Raw genomic sequence first — 22070 nt, forward strand, 5'->3', positions numbered from 1 at the left:
TCCTGGTCTGTCAGTTTTGTAATTTTGAGAATTTTTTTAAACCATTTGTGTCTCAGTTTCCCTATCTATAAAATGGGACAGATTGGACTAGGTGAATTTAGTTAAAACCCTTTTATAATTATAACACTCTGTATTTTTCCTTTAGAAAAGAGGATAGCAGCAATAAGTCAGATTCTTCCATAGGTTGCACTGATGACCTGGAGGAGCAAACACCTTGACTCTAGTTTCCATTTTAATAAAGGGAACTGTAGCTATTCTGCAGTCCTTCTCTACCTCTCTTAACCAAGCACTAGGTACATATGTTTAATGACTTTTGTTATTCTTTTAAGGCTATCTTCACACTAGAGTAATGACTTGGACAGCAACAGAAGCCTATCAGATGATAGAAGAAAACAAGGAGTGACCTGCAGAAAGACAATAAAACCTTGGCTCTATAGACTGCAGTGTCTACAACACACACTGAAAAAAGTAAATGTCAAGTGCCATATTTTGGGCTGCTTTGCCTTGTGCATCATCTTGCTCACCATGCAGTTTTTAGCAATTGAAATCAGTTGGCCTTTTCTGTGGAATACCTACGTTTCCATATCTGCTATCTTGGCAGGCCTCAGTCTCTTCTGGCGAGTAGAACTAGGTATCTTCCTCCCCACCGCCCACCCGATAACTATTTGTATCTACTCCCTAGCCATGGAGACTTCTGGTCTTTGGATAAGGAGGAAGGAGACATTTTGAGGTAGAGGTGCCTGGGGAAGAAAGAGAGATAGGATGAAGGCCACAAAGAAGATGACATGGGACAGGCCTTTCTGAGCCTGCCCACACTTGTCTTCACTTCTGTGGGACAGAGTAAGGAATTGAGAAGACTTAGAAAGACACTAGGAGGCTCTAGGCACAGCACTGGCACATCCATGCCTGAAGTCAAGTATAATGCAGAGCTGAGGAAAGGGATGTTTTGCCCACTCTTCCCAGGATTCTGCCTGTTTGGCACCCTGACCGTATAGACATCCTGTCACAGAAGACAGCCTTCATTAACACCAGGCACACAGGCAGCTACAAGGCACCTCATGAGCCCAGGAGAGAAGAACATGGGCACATTACTCGCAGAGGATTCATGGAGATAACGGCCAATGTGCGGGCTGTGCAGCAAGACTGAGGTGCTGCCATTAAACAGGTCTAGGCTCAGAGCTACTAAAAATTGGCAACTAATGTGATCTCATGTATACACGGAAGCTGCTTAGTGCTTACCAAATGTTCTAAGAGTGCCCCTACATTTCCCAGTTTTATTTGTAGTTTAGTTGCACCACAGGACTAGTTTAAGCCAGTGAGCTGTAGGCAGAAGTGAGATGTGCAATTTCTGGGTCAAATGTTAAGAGCTGGTGTCTTTCCTCCATCTCTGTCTTCCCTTCCTGTAGGAAATCATAGAGACCAGGCATTGGAAATGAAGGATCAGTAGATGGATTAAGGCTGCTCTGCTTGAATCACATGGGACTTAATGTGAACCCAAAATAAGCCTTTCTTGTGTTAAGCCATTGAGATTTAGGAGTTATTATAACATATGCTAGAAATTAAACTATTACAACTGGGTGCCAGGCCTGTAAAGGCAAGATCCTCTTCTCTTTGGAATGTAATTCCTGCCTCAATATATCATCGGTACCCAAGTGCCACCAATTTTACCTTTCCGGAGTCTCCTCTCCCATGCCACAATGTGTTAGGGACCTCATACAATAACCTCCTAAAACTATTCTCCCTACCTCCAATCTCCCCCTACCTGTAAGTCATTCTTTATCCCACTATTGGAATTATCTTTGTAAAACATTGCCTATAGTGTAAAACACAAACCCATTAGATACACAAAGTCACCCTGGAGGAGCCCAGGAATCAGGGTGGCAGGTAGATGGAACAGCCTCTCAGCACGTGTGTCACCATTGTCTCTGTGCATGTCTGCCGGTGGTCCTACTCTCTGGATTCTGAAGTGACTTCCTTGATCACTGCAAATAACTTTCTTGAGTTCAGAGATCAGGAGTCCAAATTCTAATTAAGTGAATCAAGACAATCTCATATTCTAACTCAATTAAATATTTAAGAAAATAACTTCAATTCCCTGTCTCTTCTTTACATGAATATTTTTCTCACTGAAACAAATTATATTCACACTTGGTATTTAAACTTTTAAAAGTGTTTTTAAATAACGATTTTGGTTTTTGACACAATCATCAAGCATTTGTCTGCATTCGAGTAGCTTCAGACAGTACGCAAAGGGGGAGGGCAATCAACAGCTTGTTTTCAAAAAATAGGTCTATATGTATATATATGTTTGTGTGCATGTATGTACACAGGTATGTGTGTATACATCCACGTGTGTGTGTTAATTATTGCCATGCCAGCATCGATCTTGCTCCTCTCTGTATAACCTACTGTCCTGCCAGTGATAGTCCTTCATAAGACTGCATTTCATTAGCATATGTTTAAGAGATGACTAAAATAACTCACTGTGCTTCTTCTCACACTGCAAATGTGTGTGGCCTGCCTCTGTGTAGTGTCCCCGGGGGGCATTTATGGGCCATATCTGTACTTGTGGCTCTGCCTCTTTGTCCCCTAGAGCTTCTGATGTGCTTTTGCTCAAAATGGCTGATGGCCAGCTAAGCCAGTCCACCATTGTCCCTCCTCAGCTGCCTGTAGCCACAGCCACTTGTCATGTGGCTTAGTGTTCTACTTCAGTGCATCCTTGCACTACCCATTTGCCCCCTTTGATTTGGCAGTAACTGGCTGTATTTTATCAATTAAATATAGCAGGGCTTTACACAGCACTTTCCCCCCTTCTGAGTCACCCTGCATGAAAGAAGGGATGAATCAGAGATGGCAACACAGTTTCAAGCAGGAGCTGACTGGCACAGAACAAAGGGACCATGCCATACTTTAGGGAGGTCTCTTTTGCCTGGTGATTTGGCCCCTTGGGGACAGCCTGTTTCTTGTTTCTGAGTCAGTGACAGTTATTTTGTTGAATGAGAGGTGTTCTATTCAGTCCCTGGTGACATGAAATCAATGAATCTCAAGATTTGGGGCAGGCTCTAGGGCTTGCCACATCAGAGGAAAACACTGATTAAGGATTAATGTGATCTGGGGAACACCCAAGTCCAAACAATGGCATTGACACAGTGCCAATATATGGCTGGGCTACCCAGCAGCATTCTGGGATCCACTGAGAGCCGGGGCTCTTTGATTTCTAACCTTTGAAGGGTCGGGGGAAAAAGACTTGCTGGAAAGCCTTGATTCATGCTGTGGGTGGTGGTAATAAGTTCAGGATCAAATGACCACTTCATCTTCAAAGACTCCTGAGGCCACGCAGCACTGAAGGAGACTAGGGTAGGAAGTGTTATTTTAATAGTGATTCGATCAAGGGCTCAAGTAGCTTGTTCTAAGTGCCTTGTGCCAAGTGGACAGTGGATCTATCTTCTTTGTATAGACCCCAGAACTGTCCAGCTGGAGAAATTCCAACTCAATTTATCAGGAATTGTCCTAGGACTCAATGAAGAAGCTTCCCTATTGAATATGGACATGCTTGTGAGCACCTAAGTAACATGTCTTCAAATATCTGTTATGCACACCAAAGGTGTAAGATCACATATCAAATGTCCTCTCTTCCTCCTTCCACGTGCTTTTGAGGTGATGTCAGATTCTTTGGAGATCCATGCTTTCCTTTCTGACTTTTGAACAGCTATAAGTGAACGATAGAGGTCTCAGAAAATGGTCCTGAAGTGGCATTCAGGATACCTTTTCGTTCTGAGGTGGTGTATCCAGGCCTTCACTGGAAGATAATTTTATTGACATAACATTCTTCAGATAAGTTGCCTTCATTCTTTATAGAAGACTCTTAGTGCTTTTTAAATTCTTGATATTATGCCAGGAGGAAAACATCAGATAGATGCTTATATCTATTAACATCCCTCTTTGATCACTTGCTAATCTCCTCCTCCAGCTCAAGACTGTCTGTGGACATCAAAGAACAAGAAATAGTAAACACTGGGATCTGGTAATCCTGACCCCTGTGCACCAGGAGGACTCTTTGAAGAATTTGGAACGGATCTGAGAAATGTTCTTTCTCCTTCTTTTTCTAATTTCATTACTTTAAGAAAGCAACTATTTACTTGACTTTCACTCAGTTTTCTCATCTGAAAAATGGACGGGTTAGGCTGGAAGGTCTCTAAGTATCTTTCCAGTTCTAAACATTCTTAGCATTTTCTACTGAGCATTATTCCTCAGTTGTCATGATCTGCAATATTTACAACAGTCTTAAGGCAAATAATAAAAACTGAAATTGTCCTCAGGACTCTTCAATTTAAAAAAGCTTATTTATACATGTTATTTCATTTGTTCTTCCCCCAGAGTCATGTCCAGTAGGTTGCATAGGTATTACTATCTTTCCCACTTACAGATGGAGAAAGTGAGGCTCAGAGAAATTAAATGATTGGCCTCAGATCCTGCCTCTGAGAAGCAGAATAAGAATTGGAATCAAGTGATCTAACAGGCAGAATTGAGGCCGGCTCTTCTCTGTGCAGCTGCGTCTTGGCTGACAGAGGTTGCCTCTATCAATCTTGTCTATTCCTTAACTTTGTGGGAGAGCATGATGACCTACTTGATCATTTATACACATGAACTAAAACTTGATTGTTAAGAGCCTGGGAAATTATAAAAGGACTGCTAAAATATTCCATAACATCAATTCACTGTACAGTCTGTCAATGCCATATTGCATCTTCGATGCCAGCTCTTTTTGTTAGGTTTTGTTAGGTGGGGGAGGTGGAGAAAAAGCTAAAGCTATCATTTTATTCCCTCCCCTTTAGCAACTGCCTGCAGCCTCCTGGGCTTTCCCTTTAAAAACAAAATCATCCACAAGGCAGAAGCGGTTTGTCATCTTAAGACCTTTGGAAGAATTGCTTGGAAAATGAACTTTGACAGCTCTGCAGGCACACTCCTGCAACAGGCTGCTGCACTGTTCTCCTCCATCAACCTTGCTTTCTTCCAGAACAAAGCCTCAACAGTTGGAGAAAGAGGGGCTTGAGCCAATATAAATAACCACCACCTAAGCACAGGCCTAGGAGGTTACTGTAGGTTTCTCAGTGCTTTGCCACTTAGAGAAGATTATTTAGGGAAGAGAGGTAGAAAGTGATTATACCAGGGCTTCGATAAAAGTTGGGCACCAGGTGGGTCAGCATGCAGAGAACTGCCCTGGGCTCAGCCTCTTGAAATAGGGGCTAAGGTTTGATCTCAGGCATGCTTGTAGAATAGAAAGTAGTCTAAAATGTCACTAGTCCCTAAATAGTCTAATTGCAAATCTGGACTCTGAAGTCAGCACCAAGAGTTCTGGTCTGCAAAAACAATCTGTGAGCTGAGCACAGCTCTGCCATTACACTTATTTTTCTGGTCTTCCCTTTTCTCCCTCTCATCTGTGAAAGAAGGGTTTTCAACTAGCATTCAAGCAACAACTATAAGCATTCAACCAACCACTGTAAGACACTGTGCCCTTCATTGTGCCAAACACTGATGATACAAAATGGATAATAAATAAGCTCATTTGTTAGTGAATTAATTCCTGCATGTTTTGTTATTATCAGGCATTTTGATTCCACATGTGTTTTAAACCCCACTATCATCATTATTGTTTAAGACAGTCTATTGTAATTTAAAATTGTCCACATTTTTTTTTCGTTTTCATTGATCTTTATTGCAGCCTGCATTTCTGTAATTCCTTTTGAGTTCCTCTTTCCTCTTGCCGAAGAAACCTCCCTTCCTCTTTTTCTCCCTTTTCTAAGTGCAGTTCTGCAAGGGTTGAAATCCTCTCTATTTTTATTTGACTAGAAAGGTCTTCATTTTACTTTCATTTTGGAAGGCTGTTTTCTCAGGTGATAGATGCTAGAGTGGCAAGCATTTTCTCTCTGCACTTTAAAGATGTCATTCTTTTGTCTTTTAGCTTCCATTGTTTCTCTGGGGAAGTCTTCTGTCTGCCTAATTTTTGCTCCTACGGTGTAATGGATCTTTGGATCAGGCAGCTTTTAAAATTTCCTTTACTGTTTGGTAGTTTTATTATGATGTGTCTAGGTGTGGTTTTCTTTATATTGAGCCTGTTTATTAGAATATAGGATTTCTTGAATCTCTCAAAAGTCTTAGAAAATTATCAAACATTTTCTCTTCCAAGACTGCTTCTTTCTCATTCTCATATCTCCTTCTGTTACCAGGGGTCTTTGCTCCCAGAGCTCCCAAGATGGTGGCGGGCCATGGCAGTGGCGGCAGGCCACGTCCAAGATGGTGGCAAGCCTCGTGTTCTCTGACCTGGGGTTCTTGGCCTCACGGATTCCAAGGAATGGAATCTTGGGCCATGCGGTGAGTGTCATAGCTCTATTAGAAGCCTTGGGTCATTGAAGAGAACCGTGGAACCTAGTGACTAGTGTTCAGCTGGATTAGGACGAACCTGGGCACTTAGCCGGGCAGGAATAATGGCAAGCCTTTAGCCTATTCGGGAGCGGCAATGGGCGCCTCGCTGGATCAGGAGCGCAGCAGACACCCTGCCGGATCCGGAGGGGTGGAAGTCAGCAGTGGGTCTGCGACGGAGGCAATCAGCAGCAGTGGATGGTGAGCAAAAGCTCAGCTCCAGCCGTAACAAACACGGACCAGAATAGTGTATAGTTGAAAGATTCAATAGAGTGAAAACAGAGCTTCCATAAAATGGGAGGGGACCCAAAGTGGGTAGCTGTTGCTGGCTGGAATGCCTAGGTTTATATCCTGATCAGAGCCTGTGCTCCCAGGCGATAGATGATTGGCTATTTCTTTACCTCCTGTTTTTGCCTAATTAGCATTTTAGTGAGCTCTCTTTACTATCGGATTCATTGGGTATGAGCTAAGTTGCAAGCCCCGGGTTTAAAGGTGGATGCAGCCACCTTCCCGGCTAGGCTTAGGGTTTCTTAGCATAGAAAATCCAGCTAGCCCTGTCTTTCACTTCCGGTATTGCAATTATAAATATATTAGACGTTTTCCCTGTATTTTGTCTCCTGCTTTTTTTATATTCTACATTCTTTCTCCATCCCTGATTTAGCTTGGATATTTACGACTGACCCAACTTTTAGTGAAGTAATCTTCAGCAATGTCAACCATCTGTTAAATACACTTATTGAGATCTTAATACCATTTATATAATTCTCATTTAATTATTTTAAAAAATAGATTCTAGTTCTTGGTAAAATTCTCCATCTTATTGTTTTCCTGAACATGGTCAAACTGATGTTTGATAATACCGATATCTAATTCACCTGTGGGTCTGTTTCTCTTTTCTTTCTGCTTTGTCCTATTTTTTTATTCCTAGTAAATTTTAATTGCTTGCTAGACACATTGCATATGGAAAATTGGAGAGGCTCTGAATGATGTTATCTTCTTCCAGAGAGAATTTACCCTATCCTCTGGCAGGCTGCTAGATGAGGGACACTTCACTTCAGTACAATTAGGAAGTAAGCAAACCTCACGTTACTCCTGATTTTGCCCTACTCCTAGAGGTTTCCTTCAGATGAGATCTTGGGATGCCTAATAGGGTCTATCCTGGACACTGATTTTGGTTTCCCTGGGACTAAGAGACTGCTAAAAACTCCACTTTGATTTTCAGATGGTATTAACCTGGTTTTTAAGCCATTCATTCAGTCATCAAATGCCTTGCAGGGTAAACCACCTCCACTTCTTTGCATGTCCCCTCTTTCAGAGCCTGGCCTACACAAGTCCTGGATGCACTGGAAGCCACAAACTTGCATTTTTTTCCTTCCTAGTTCCAGAAGGTTGCTGAAAGCTCAGCTGGCTCCTCTATCTCTTAGATGCCACCCTTTGCCTGGCTTCTGACCCATGACAAAACATGCCAAAAAACTACATACATTCTGAGGTGAATGTTGGGGTCACATCAGCAAACTCCCTTCTTCCTGGGGTCTTGGCCCCTTGAATCCTAATTTTCTTGGTTATTCTCTGATGTTTTCAAGCAGATAAATATTTTTAGTACAACATTTCTTGATCCTTGGTTTTGCTACAAGCTACTTCATAGAAGGAAAACGAAAAGCAAAGGAGTACCTAGAAGTTTCCAAAATTAAGTATCAGGAGTGTGTGTCAGATTGTGAAAAGCAAGCATTTCTATAAATGTTTCTGGAAAACACAAATTTTAAGCAGGATTTTAAAGAAAAGTAGACTACTAAGCGCAAGCCATAGGAGTCTTCAGTAAAGGAAAGCATATATGCACACAAGTAGATGCTTGTCATTCATTTTTCCAAGAAATGTTTATCCAGATTTTGCTGTATGTCATCCACTGGGATAGATGCTACCTAATACACAATAAACATTTTGGAGCTTACAGGTCATGGGGTAATACAGAAGTAATCAGGAAATGACAATATATTGTAATAAACTAAGACAAGGATCTGTTTGGTTGAAGCAATGGGGCTAGGTAGAGAAAAATACAAAAAATGAGAAGGTTAATAAAGTATTAGTGAGAGCAAGATAGCAAGAAATGCAGCTGGGTGGTGGGAAGAAATAGGTGATAGACGATTATGCCCGGAGGATGGCTTGGATTTGTAAGGCAGGATTTGTAAGGCAGGCAGTACAGTTGCATTCCAGGTTGAGTAGGGAAGTGTATCATAGCATCATTGTCTTTAAGAAAGGCTATTCCTGATGTAAAATTTTTGGATAGACTGGCAACCAAACTAGAGAACCTAGGGGTGAAGCCCCTTTGATGTTCAGAGTACAACAAAGGCATATCCTGTATCAGCACTTCCCCTACCTAGATTTGTGTGAATACTTTGGGTCCTATTCTATTTTAAAATGATGCTAGAAGGTCCAGAAGTGATTAGGTCTCTGGCCCCACTAGAGCTAAAAATTGTGACCTTCTTAGTCCTTTGCTTCTCTTTCTCTTCTACTCTCTACTTCATATTCCTTTCCCTTTTCTCTGTCCTCACTTCTTCCCTCTTTCTTCCTCATTCCTCTTTTATTTTTTTCTTTTTTCTTGCTTTATTACTCTCATTAGAAGCATCATCATTTGAGTAGTTTGAAAACCTCTAAGAAAAAATATTCCGGGAACCTTTTTATCACTCCTGGATCTTTACGAACAGCACAGGCATGGGTTAGTTCCAGCCCTCAGGATTTACTGTCTTTCGCACTCCATTTTCTTGCTTGGCTAAAAGAACAGCTATTTTTGTGGTGCAGGTTTACCCTGTCTCCCTTTTTCTGTATCCCTAGAGAGAAAGTCTGATAACCGAGGCCAGACTGCGATCCCTTCCGAGGACTGACTGCAGCCAAGTTTTGAGAATGTGTCCTCCTGGGTCTGTGTCAGCAGCTCACTCAGCTCTGCTGGGAAGAGCATGCCAGGGTCACTCACTGTGCATTAACCTCAGTGGCTTGCTCGCTCCATCTCTCGTCAGCTGTTTCTTTTCCGTGAAAAGCACACACAGTTCAGATAATTAAACACTTGTGGGGCATTTTACATTTCATGAATCAATCAGCAGTGAATTATTTTTGAATGTGCTCATGCAATGTACTCCAAGTCTCTTAGCTATATTTTGCAAATGAACAGGAGTGGATTTATCATGAAGCAAATGAGGCTTAAGTTGGCCTCTTACGTACAGGGGCCCATTTCAAGGCCCCAGGAGAATCCCTGGTGATTTCATATTTGTAATTTATATTTTTTCTTAATGATACTCTTCCTTCATCCCCAACACCACTTTTACAAGCTTGAGATCCCACAGTAACTGAATCTACCCCTGGGAAAACTAAGACTCTCTTTCTTGTTACCAGGCTAGGTCTTATCACCATGTGCATCAGATATTGCTTTGCCTTTATCACTGATTTCAGATGGACAACTTTTGCTTTGTGGGCAGTTTGTTTCTCATATATAGGCCAGCTCACTTTTTCTAAAGATCTGTCTTCAGAGTGATGGTGACAAAAATGTGCCTTCTGAACCCAAACTACAAGGAGCTTAATTGATCAAGGGGCCAGCAGCTGAACTCTGAAAATCCATCGCCTTATTTGTACCAAGGCAGTGCTTCCCAGGAGCTGGCTGCTCATGCAGCAGGAATACTAAGGCAGAGCTAGTCTGGGGAGATGTAGGATTCTTCTGACGGCTGGTTTTGACATAAGGACTCCCTGACAGTATTGCTGAAAACTCCTTAAACTTCCTGGCAGTTTAGTAGATGCTTCTACTTAATTTTCCTTCCCTTTCTCCTTCACTTGGGGTCAGACTTGTATAATGGTCTGATGGCTTTCCCTGGTTTGTCCCCATTTTCTGTCACACAGGCATTTCCCTTAATAAAATTCTTATACTCTGAATCCTGTCTTAGTGTCTGCTTTAGAAAATGCAAACTAACACAATGAGTTAATAGGAAAAAATAGGACTGGATGTTAGAATGCATTAATCAAGTCCCACTGAATTTTCAGGGATCTTAGTAAATTAAAATTTGAAAATTAAAATACCCATTGTCATGACCTCCCCATCTTTCACTTTTGCCCACACTTGAAATTTCCTTTTTTTGCATCTAACTAAATCTTGTTTATAATGTGAATCCCAGCTCCAGTCCATCTCTTCCATAGAACCTTGATTTTCTCTCTTCTGAGTTCTTATGGTCCTGGCCCTATGAACTTAAACATCATGGTAATTCTTGATTAAAGGGTCAGTCAAATAGTCAATCTTCAAAATCCCCTAAGGGCTAGCTCAGGCTAACAACTTCTATATGCCCTTCTTCTGTAAAGCTTATAGACTAGTATTTTAAAAATTATGTTCCAGTAATAGCAATAGACTATGTATATTTTAGAAGAGAAAGGGTCCATGGTCAAATAAATTTGGAGGAAATACCCACCACGTATATGGCCATTTCTCAGAGACTTAACTGCACGCCAGTGCACTAAAGACTTGGAAACAAACTATGGGAATGGTTTCAACTAACTCCGAGTTCCCCAAACCTATTTGATATTGCAAACCTTTTTCCATAAAATTACTATTAACAACCACATGGATTTATTTTTTAACAACACAATTTGAAAATATGTGTTGATATTTCTGAAGATATTTCTTTCAGAGGTGCATTTGTATTAAGTCACTCTCTGGATATATTGAATAGGGGTAAGGAGGAGGCAAGTCAATTGGCAACATTGGCAGGTGGGGGAGCTTCTGGACCTCAGCCATGAGATCAAAATGAAAGAGGGCAGGGTAGACTAACGCCAGGTGTGCAAAGCAGGAGCTGGGAAAGCAGGTCCAAGAATGGCCTGAGCTTATTCTTACCAGTCAATGTTTAAAGGGGACAGTGACAGGTTATTTTTCTTTCTTTACAGGAATCACATAATTAGCACCCGTAGGGAATACCCTTCAAAGATGACCCAAGAGCTTCTGGTCAACTGCTTTCCTTTGCAGGCTTTCTTACCATTTATACAGTTTCCTTTCCAGCTAGATTACAAGCCAAGATTAGGGAAAACGTCTTACCATTCTTTAATTTACCTCGGTATTTAGTATTCCTTCATTCTTCCAATAAATCATTATTATGCCACTACTGTGTGCCAGACAATGTTCTTGGTGATAGAGATGCAGCAGTGAACCAAACCCAACAAGGTTCCTGTCCTCATGGAACTTACATTCTTATTGGGTAAACAGATAATAAACCCAATAAGCTGAAATACAACAAATATTAGTGGCAAGTGCTATGAAGAAAATAAAGTGGGATAAAGGATTAAAGAGCACACCAGAGACAGAGTAGATACCGAATAAATATTGACGGATTATGTAGGACTTTTGAATTGCCTCAGTGATTTTCTGCAGCCCTCAAAGAGAATTTAACAGGAGGAAAGTGCCATTGTGGCTTGCATAGGTGTGATCATTTTTTAAATGGTGACAAAACCTCAAAAGTGGGCAATAACATTGATGTCTTGTTTCTGCTATTCATCAGCAGGCAAACGTTCTATCTGCAACTGTCAGAACTACATATTTAGCACAGTTCCTCTTACTATTAGCGTCTTCAACATGCTGCTACCTTCCCCACATCTTCCTACCCATTACCCCCTTGTAATTACTGCAATCATTTCAGATTAAGATGTTAAAGTCCAAAATGTTTGTGAAAAAAATTGGCAAGCTGTCACCTCCAAATACCCAGCTGAGTTGCCAAATGAATAATAATGCAAAAATGCTTGCTGGAAAAATAATAAATAAAAGCTTTTTGTTGTATAATAAATCCTTTTCTATAAACCACCCCTGAGGAAACTGGCTCTAGGCTAGTTTCCTAGTAACATTTTCCTCCAAGTAAGCAGGCCATTTTATTTCATTCTTTTCTACACTTTATTTTTTTCCAAGAGCTGCTGTATGGTCCTACCCCATTGTTCTTCATGAAATATGAATGCCACAGGAGTGTATGGGGAGAGATGCCAGCTACATGGCTGTGGATAGGAGCCACTAGTGACTAGAGTAAGTGATTAGTTCAGAAAGTGGCAGCTGAAAAGGAAGTGTGCATTGTGGGAAAACAGAGTTATTTTATTAACCATTAGCCAAAAGAGAAGACTTAAAAAAATAAAAAACCCCGAGAGGCTGGATTTAAGGGCATCCATCTTGCCCATTGCAGAGCAGCTCTGTTCATGAAAAAGGGGAAGAACAACACAAACCACTTGGGCTGGATTTGGATATTCATGGAAGGCTCCATTATGCTTGGGGCAGACCGTGGGCAAAACTGTACCCAAGAGCTCATTGTCACATTTGAGGAATTGGCGAGGCATGACAGATAATTAGGCAATAACTAACACTCTGCATATACTACGTTGTCTATGTATATAGGATTGCCACATATGTTGTCATCTCATTTGATTCATCAAATAATCCTAGGAAACAGGATTATTTTGCCTACCTTAAAGATGACGCCATTGAAGTTTAGAGATGTTAAGTAATTTTTCTAAGGTTACATAGCCAGCAAGTGGCAGAGCTAGAATTCAAATCCAGGTCTCTCTGACTCCCTAGGTGGGGCTTTAGCCACTCTTCGAAGTTTCCTACTCTTCTTTCCCAGACTCAGAGAAGGAGGCAGAATCTGGCAATAGACAATGCACATCCTCCTCCTCCCCAGCTGCCCCACGCTCCTACACGAGGCAAGCATTGTGAGCCATCAAGGCCACTGACACTAGGTGAGGCCAAAGAGGCCTGGGTGAACTGCTCATCACCTATGGGGCATGTTCACCTGCAGCCACAGTACTGGTATGCTCAAAGACACAAAAGGCCCCAAAGATCCAGGAAAGTTTAGCATCGAAGAAAAGTAGATGTTAGAAAAATCCATGGAAAGCCAGGTTAAAAATTCTACTAAGGAGGATCGTTGACGGTTAGTGGAGTGCTAGAGTCAAGTATGGGAAGAAAAGAGGATGGTAGGAACCCGTCCTAAAGAATGTTTAATAATAGTTTATTGGAAAAGTAACTTTGGCATGGGACCAATAATTGAGGTTTAAAAGCATAGTGTACAAAAACAAAACAAAACATAGTGCACATGAGAACGGAGACATGCTGGTAGAAAACAGGAAGTTCAGGCTTCTGAAATGAGACATCAGAACTGGTGAATTGTGTGTAAGTCAGGCTGGCAGCCAAAGAAACAGCCCGGGAAGGTTGTCGGGGGAGGGGGGAGATACTTAAGCTCCACCTTCCTCTCACCTGATTGGGCCTTGAGTGGCTGGGGGTGGGACTAAATTGGCAGATGGGCATCAGCCTGGGTGTGTGGAAACCAACCCGAATATGATTTGAGGCAGATTCTCTCCCTCCTTCTTTCCCCCAGGTAGGCTATGTGCTCTAGTTTCCAGAGCCTCCACCTCTGTGCCATGCCCAAATCTTTCCTTCTACTGTGAGTCCTAAAAACTCCCCAGGTCTAATGCTAGTAGAAATCCTACTTCTTCACTGCAAGAATTTTTTTTTTTTTTTTTTTTTTTTTTTTTTTTTTTTTTTTTTTTTTTTTGAGACGGAGTCTCCCTCTGTCACCCAGGCTGGAGTGCGGTGGCGCGATCTCGGCTCCCTGCAAGCTCCGCCTCCCGGGTTCACGCCATTCTCCTGCCTCAGCCTCCTGAGTAGCTGGGACTACAGGCGCCCGCCACCACGCCCGGCTAATTTTTTTTTTTGTATATTTAATAGAGACGGGGTTTCACCGTGTTAGCCAGGATGGTCTCGATCTCCTGACCTTGTGATCCACCCGCCTCGGCCTCCCCAGGTGCTGGGATTACAGGCGTGAGCCACCGCGCCCGGCCTGCAAGAACTTCTCTCTACGTTAGCAAGAAACAAACACTTGAGAACTAAGTTACACTGCTGGAGGAACGATGAACGTCTCCTTACTGCCAATTACGTTAACCTTCCCAATGACTTGTTTTCACTTTTTAAATAGAAGCTTGTTAAATTAAAAGAATGCTTTGCTAATAGTGGGATTATAGGAGAGAAGTTTTTTTGAGATTGTGGTGATGGGGCAGGAGCTGTGATGTAGATGGGGTCCCTTAAAACTATTTGTTCTTCTTGTTCAGATTTTGATTCAGCTCATGTCTGTCAAGCCTTTAATAAGCACCAAGTCCCAAGCTACTTGTCATCCTCCCCACCATGATCAAGGTCTAGAGGATAGAGGTGGTTTCTTGAAAGTGAGAAAATGTTTATTTCATATTGTTTTCAACAAGACTAAATTGGAAAAAAAACCCTCAACATCCTTTTAGTGATTTCTACAGTGCTGGGAATTACTGGCTTTTTAAGTCCTTGTTCTCTACTGTAGAAGCTGCCTACTCATTCCAATTGCCTGATGTTTGCTAATTAAGCATCGTTAAAGGAAGAAATTAACTCATTTGTTAAATGCCACCTAAGTTTCTCTGTATATTCAGAAAAAGCATTAAACCCAATCCTGAGATGGTAATTTCAACCTAATTCAAACTCTTGCTTGCTTTAGGGATCAAAATAGTTATGCTGCAGGTTTACTAATATCAACAGTGGCACTGACGACAATAACGAATGATGACCCTGACAATGATCATGATGCTGAACGCTGTTTGTTACTTTTTAAATCCTTTGTTTCAAAAACTACCAAAAATTCTCCACATTTTTAGAAATCTTGTATTGAAGCATCGTCATTAGTATAATTTCTGATCAAGTAAATCCATTGCTGAGATGTTTATGCAGTATTCTCTGTGCAGAAAATAATACATGAATATAGGTAAGAATCTGATACAGATATTCAGGATGAGACACTTTTTAATTGAGAAAAATAATTGGACAGATTTTCATTCATTGCACATCTGTTTTCAAATCTATTTACTGTATTTGTCATCTCCCTTTCTCCTTTCATCTCCTTCTTCTCTCCATTGTCCTGCTTTTTTTTCTTTGGTTCTCCTCTCATCTTTCACTCTCCTTTTCAGCAAACAAATCAGGGAAAGAAACAGCTTCCTAGATAATGAATGGTATTTTAAATCTGGTTTGTTTTCAGGGACTCTAGTCCTGACTTAATGTATCAAACGAAGCTCCAGGATTTAATCAAGAAAGGAGGCCATCAGGAAAAAGAAAATCAACTCTGAAGCTTAGCTGAAAATAATTTGCATTTTGGGAGCTGTGCGTTAGGGATGTTTGGTCCAAGCTCTTTCATGGGGAGATAAAATGAAAATGATGTGCTTTATTACTTTGAAAGTCATACCCTTCTAATAACAGGGAGAATAGGAAGCTTTTCTGATTTATTCTGCTGAACCATCACTATCTGGAGTCATTTGCACTCATGGACCATTGGGAGAACATTAATTGACCAAAAAGAGGCTGCTGTTATTGTCGAGGCAGCATTGTGTATCCTTCTGAAATGGCTGATCCTGACCTGGGCTCTTGACTTTGCCCCCTCAGACTCTAGCTTTTATGGGACTGGATGGATCTACTGCCAGAGGTCAAGTAGTGCCAGACTGAAAAGCTTTATCAATTCCAGAACCTCACCGAGTACCTCCTACTAGGAAATTTGAATGTGAACACCTTGGTAACATCTCAACCACGCACTTGGGAGCTTTTGCCTATAATTCAAAGCAAACCGAAAAAGAAATTATTCCCACCATGTTGCAAAAATTGAAATGGAAAAAGAACTGTTGATTCTAATTCCTCAACCCAGGACTTCAGATGCCAATAATGATTGCAAAGAATAAACACCCACTGAGTGCATCTCAGAAACCGAATTGTTTTCTTGTTATTTAACATTTACAGTAGTAAGAGTGTGTTGGCACTGCTGGGCTCCTGTCAAGAGCCATTCCTGAAGTCCTCAGTGTTCCCACAGTGATGGCTGCACGTGTGAAAGGTTAGGAATCCAGGAATACTAACATGGAAAGTAAATTGTTCCTCCCGTTTCTTTTCTGTGCTGCCCTAGAAAGATCTTACACCTCTTGTCCTTTAAGGTAATAGCACTAGTTCCCATTCTTTTGGGTTCCATGTATATTAGGGCATCCACATCTACTGTTAAAAAAAAAGGAAGAAGGATTTTGAGGAAGAGCTTAAAGGAAAGGGGGTATTCAAAGAAGAAAATGCTTCAGGGCAATTGGGGGTTTCCTTCAGAGCAAAAGGGAGATTAGAGGAGAGGTGGGAGAGAGATAGAGAAGGATTTACCTGATGAATAACCCAGAACTTGGAAGTGATTCTGGGTAGGTCTCTCAAAACAGGAGAAAATTATTATATTTAAAAAGTGGGTGGCCCTTGAAGAAGAATCATTTGAAAATTCAGAAGCTACCTGGGTGCTGAATCATTGCTCTTCTCACTTCATTTTTGCAAGAATGAATAATTACACATTCGCCCCATTGCCTGTGCCGGGGAATGATGTAGTGAAGGACTTCATTTTGTTATATGCAGGACTGACCCTGGCTGTGCACTGGGGCATCTGCTGGCTCCTTCAAATTTATTCCTTATGCATATGACCCACCCTTTCCACACCCAACTTTGCTGACTATGCATAAAGCCAAAAAAGGAAGGGGCCCTAGTTACCTGAGGTCTGTGTACGTATGGGAGAGTGAGGGGTAGAAGGAAACTTGGCCTCATCTCTATCTGGGGGCTGCTGAATGCTTATCACACCCACAAGGGAGGGTCAGTAGCTAATGACCCCCATGTTAAAAATGAAAAAACTGAAACCCTAGATTGTTAGCCCGTGACTTGCTTTACCTTTGCCTTCTGTTCAGGAGGGATTTAATTCTGCTTAAAGTAAATGGCAACCACATAACCTGCCATGTTTTTGGACCCCTTGGTCACCTAATTTTCCCATTAGGCTTCAGCCCTGTTGGCACAATGAGGCTGGACGCTGAGAAGCCACAAGGGCCGGTGAGAGAGAATGGGAACCACAGTGAAATGTGCATTTTTGGGGAGACTCGATGGAGTGACCCAGAGCCAGCTTATTGCATCTTAGAAAGTTATAGGACAGAAAATTTATATCTTGTAGTTTAGTTTGAAAGTGGGGGAACAGACTATAAACTAGGAAAACAACGAAGTGCTTTTGAAAAAATATTTGCTGAACATCTTAAGGCATAGGTTTCTGAGCGTAGGGTCAGTGTTTTTATTTCTTCCCAGATACTCTGCCTTTAAATACAGATCTAGCGTCTGCTGTATGCCGTCTGAGACAAAGGTTAATTTCCAATGCTTGAATTATCCACACCACTTTCGGCCCTTATCCTGTAGGTGGAATTTGTGAAACATCCAAATAGTCACTGTCAGGCCTCTGAGCCCAAGCTAAGCCATCATATCCCCCGTGACCTGCACATATACATCCAGACGGCTTGAAGTAACTGAAGAATCACAAAAGAAGTGAAATTTAAATGGCCTGTTCCTGCCTTAACTGATGACATTACCTTGTGAAATTCCGTTTCCTGGCTCATCCTGGCTCAAAAATCTCCCCCACTGAGCACCTTGTGACCCCTACTCCTGCCCGCCAGAGAACAACCCCCCTTTGACTGTAATTTTCCTTTGCTTACCCAAATCTTATAAAACGGCCCCACTCCTATCTCCCTTCACTCTCTTTTCGGACTCAGCCCGCCTGCACCCAGGTGATTAAAAGCTTCATTGCTCACACAAAGCCTGTTTGGTGGTCTCTTCACACGGACGCGAGTGAAGTTTCGTGCCGTGACTCGGATCAGGGGACCTCCCTTGGGAGATCAATCCCCTGTCCTCCTGCTTTTTGCTCCATGAGAAAGATCCACCTACGACCTCGGGTCCTCAGACCGACCAGCCCAAGGAACATCTCAGCAATTTTAAATCGGGTAAGCGGGCTTTTACTCTCTTCTCCAACCTCTCTTACTATCCCTCAACCTCTTTCTCCTTTCAATCTTGGCGCCACACTTCAATCTCACCCTTCTCTTAATTTCAGTTCCTTTCCTTTTCTGGTAGAGACAAAGGAGATGTGTTTTATCCCTGAACCCAAAACTCCGGCGCTGGTCACAGACTTGGGAAGACAGTCTTCCTTGGTGTTTAATTACGCTGGGATGCCTGCCTGATTATTCACCCGCGCTTCAGGGGTGTCTGACCACATGGGGACACCTGCCTTGTCCCTTCACCCTTAGTGCCAACTACCGCTTTTCTGCGGGGCAAGAACCCCTCGACCCCTTCTCTCCGTCTCTACCCCTTTTCCACTTTTCTGGAGGGCAAGAAACCCCCAACCCCTTCTCTCCTGTCTCTACCCCTTTTCTGCTTTTCTGGAGGGCAAGAACCCCCCGACCCCTTCTCTCTGTGTCTCTACCCCTTCTCCACTTTCCTGCGGGGCAAGCACTCCCCACCCCTTCTCTCCGCGTCTCTACTCTCTCTTTTCTCTGGGCTTGCCTCCTTCACTATGGGCAGGCTTCCACCCTCCATTCCTCCTTCTCCCTTAGCCTGTGTTCTCAAGAACTTAAAACCTCTTCAACTCACACCTGACCTAAACCCAAACGCCTTATTTTCTTCTGCAATGCCGCTTGACAAACTCGACAGTGGTTCCAAATAGCCAGAAAATGGCACTTTCAATTTTTCCATCCTACAAGATCTAAATAATTCTTGTCCTAAAATAGGCAAACAGTCTGAGGTGCCTGACGTCCAGACATTCTTTTACACATTGTCCCCTCCCTAGTCTCTGTTCCCAGTGCGACTCGTCCCAAATCCTCCTCCCTTCCCTCTCACCTGTCCCCTCAGTCCCAACCCCAGGCGTCGCTGAGTCTTTCTAATCTTCCTTTTCTACAGACCCATCTGACCTCTCCCCTCCTCCCCAGGCTGCTCCTCGCCAGGCCGAGCTAGGTCCCAATTCTTCCTCAGCCTCCGCTCCTCCACCCTGTAATCCGTTCATCACCTCCCCTCCTCACACCCGGTCTGGGTTACAGTTTCGTTCCTTGACTGGCCCTCCCCCACCTGCCCAGCAATTTCCTCTTAAAAACATGGCTGGAGCTAAAGGCATAGTCAAGGTTAAAGCTCCTTTTTCTTTATCCGACCTCTCCCAAATCAGTTAGCATTTAGGCTCTTTTTCATCAAATATAAAAATCCAGCCCAGTTCATGACTTGTTTGGCAGCAACCCTGAGACGCTTTACAGCCCTAGACCCTAAAAGGTCAAAAGGCCGTCTTATTCTCAATATACATTTTATTACCCAATCCGCTCTCGACTTTAAATAAAGCTCCAAAAATTAAATTCCGGCTCTCAAACCCCACAACAGGACTTAATTAACCTCGCTTTCAAGATGTACAATAATAGAAAAAAGTTGCAATTCCTTGCCTCCACTGTGAGACAAACCCCAGCCACATCTCCAGCACACAAGAACTTCCAAACGCCTAAACCGCAGTGGCCAGGCGTTCCTCCAGGCCCGCCGCCCCCAGGAGCTTGCTACAAGTGCCAGAAATCTGGCCACCAGGCCAAGGAATGCCCGCAGCCCGGGATTCCACCTAAGCCGCATCCCATCTGTGTGGGACCCCACTGAAAACTGGACTGTTCAACTCACCTGGCAGCCACTCCCAGAGCCCCTGGAACTCCAGCCCAAGGCTCTCTGACTCCTTCTCAGATCTTCTCGGCTTAGCGGCTGAAGACTGACACTGCCTGATGGCCTCGGAAGCCCCCCTAAACCATCACGGACGCCGAGCTTTGGCTAACTCTCACAGTGGAAGGTAAGTCTATCCCCTTCTTAATCAATGCGGAGGCTACCCACGCCACATTACCTTCTTTTCAAGGGCCTGTTTCCCTCGCCTCCGTAACTGTTGTGGGTATTGACGGCCAGGCTTCTAAACCTCTTAAAACTCCCCAACTCTGGTGCTTAGACAATGATCTTTTAAGCACTCCTTTTTAGTTATCCCCACCTGCCCAGTTCCCTTATTAGGCCGACACACTTTAACTAAATTATCTGCTTCCCTGACTATTCCTGGGCTACAGCCACACCTCACTGCCGCCTTTTCCCCCAGTTCAAAGCCTCCTTCACATCCTCCCCTTGTATCTCCCCACCTTAACCCACAAGTATAAGACACCTCTACTCCCTCCTTAGCGACCGATCATGCACCCCTTACCATCCCATTAAAACGTAATCACCTTTACCCTGCTCAGTGCCAATATCCCATCCCACAGCATGCTTTGAAAGGATTAAAGCCTGTTATCACTCGCCTGCTACAGCATGGCCTTTTAAAGCCTATAACCTCCCCTTACAATTCCCCCATTTTACCTGTCCTAAAACCAGACGAGGCTTACAGGTTAGTTCAGGATCTGCACTTTATCAACCAGATTGTTTTGCCTATCCACCCCATGGTGCCAAACCCATATACTCTCCTATCCTCAATACCTCCCTCCACAATCCATTATTCTGTTCTGGATCTCAAACATGCTTTCTTTACTATTCCTTTGCACCCTTCATCCCAGCCTCTCTTCGCTTTTCACTTGGACTGACCCTGACACCCATCAGGCTCAGCAAATTACCTGGGCCGTACTGCCGCAAGGCTTCACAGACAGCCCCCATTACTTCAGTCAAGCCCAAATTTCTTCCTCATCTGTTACCTATCTCGGCATAATTCTCATAAAAACACACGTGCTCTCCCTGCCGATGGTGTCCACTGATCTCTCAAACCCCAGCACCTTCTACAAAACAACAACTCCTTTCTTCCTAGGCATGGTTAGATACTTTCAACTTTAGATACCTGGTTTTGCCATCCTAACAAAACTATTATATAAACTCACAAAAGGAAACCTAGCTGACCCCATAGATCCTAAATCCTGTCCCCACTCCTCTTTCCGTTCCTTGAAGACAGCTTTAGAGACTGCCGCCACCCTAGCTCTCCCTGACTCATCCCACCCCTTTTCATTACACACAGCTGAAGTGCAGGGCTGTGCAGTCGGAATTCTTACACAAGAACTGGGACCGCGCCCTGTAGCCTTTTTATCCAAACAACTTGACCTTACTGTTTTAGCCTAGCCCTCTACTCTGCGTGCAGTGGCCGCCACCGCCCTAATACTTTTAGAGCCCTTAAAATCACAAACTATGCTCAACTCACTCTCTACAGTTCTCATAACTTCCAAAATCTATTTTCTTCCTCACACCTGACACATATACTTTCTGCTCCCCGGCTCCTTCAGCTGTACTCACTCTTTGTTAAGTCTCCCATAATTACCATTGTTCCTGGCCCGGACTTCAATCCGGCCTCCCACATTATTCCTGATACCACACCTGACCCCCGTGACTGTATCTCTCTGATCCACCTGACATTCACTCCATTTCCCCATATTTCCTTCTTTCCTGTTCCTCACCCTAATCACACTTGGTTTATTGATGGCAGTTGCACCAGGCCTAATCGCCACACATCAGCAAAGGCAGGCTGTGCTATAGGACAAGCCACTAGCCCGCCTCTTAGAACCTCTCATTTCCTTTCCATCGTGGAAATCTATCCTCAAGGAAATAACTTCTCAGTGTTCCATCTGCTATTCTACTGCTCCTCAGGGATTATTCAGGCCCCCTCCCTTCCCTACACATCAAGCTCAGGGATTTGCCCCCACCCAGGACCAGCAAATGGGCTTTACTCAACATGCCCGGAGTCAGGAAACTAAAATACCTCTTGGTCTAGGTAGACACTTTCACTGGATAGGTAAAGGCC

The 22070-nt window shown here is 43.1% G+C and overlaps 1 annotated feature.

Annotated features, from left to right (window-relative positions):
* Nucleotides 2560-3759: an enhancer, noted in NCBI's record as "P300/CBP strongly-dependent group 1 enhancer chr9:2260567-2261766 (GRCh37/hg19 assembly coordinates)". NCBI's record gives its function as "activates an origin of replication core promoter dependent on BRD2, BRD4, P300/CBP, MED14 and CDK7 cofactors, with strong dependence on P300/CBP, by STARR-seq in HCT116 cells {active_cell/tissue: HCT116}" and the evidence as "EXISTENCE:reporter gene assay evidence [ECO:0000049][PMID:35650434]".

Source organism: Homo sapiens, chromosome 9, assembly GCF_000001405.40.
Source record: "Homo sapiens chromosome 9, GRCh38.p14 Primary Assembly".
Lineage (NCBI taxonomy): Eukaryota > Metazoa > Chordata > Mammalia > Primates > Hominidae > Homo > Homo sapiens.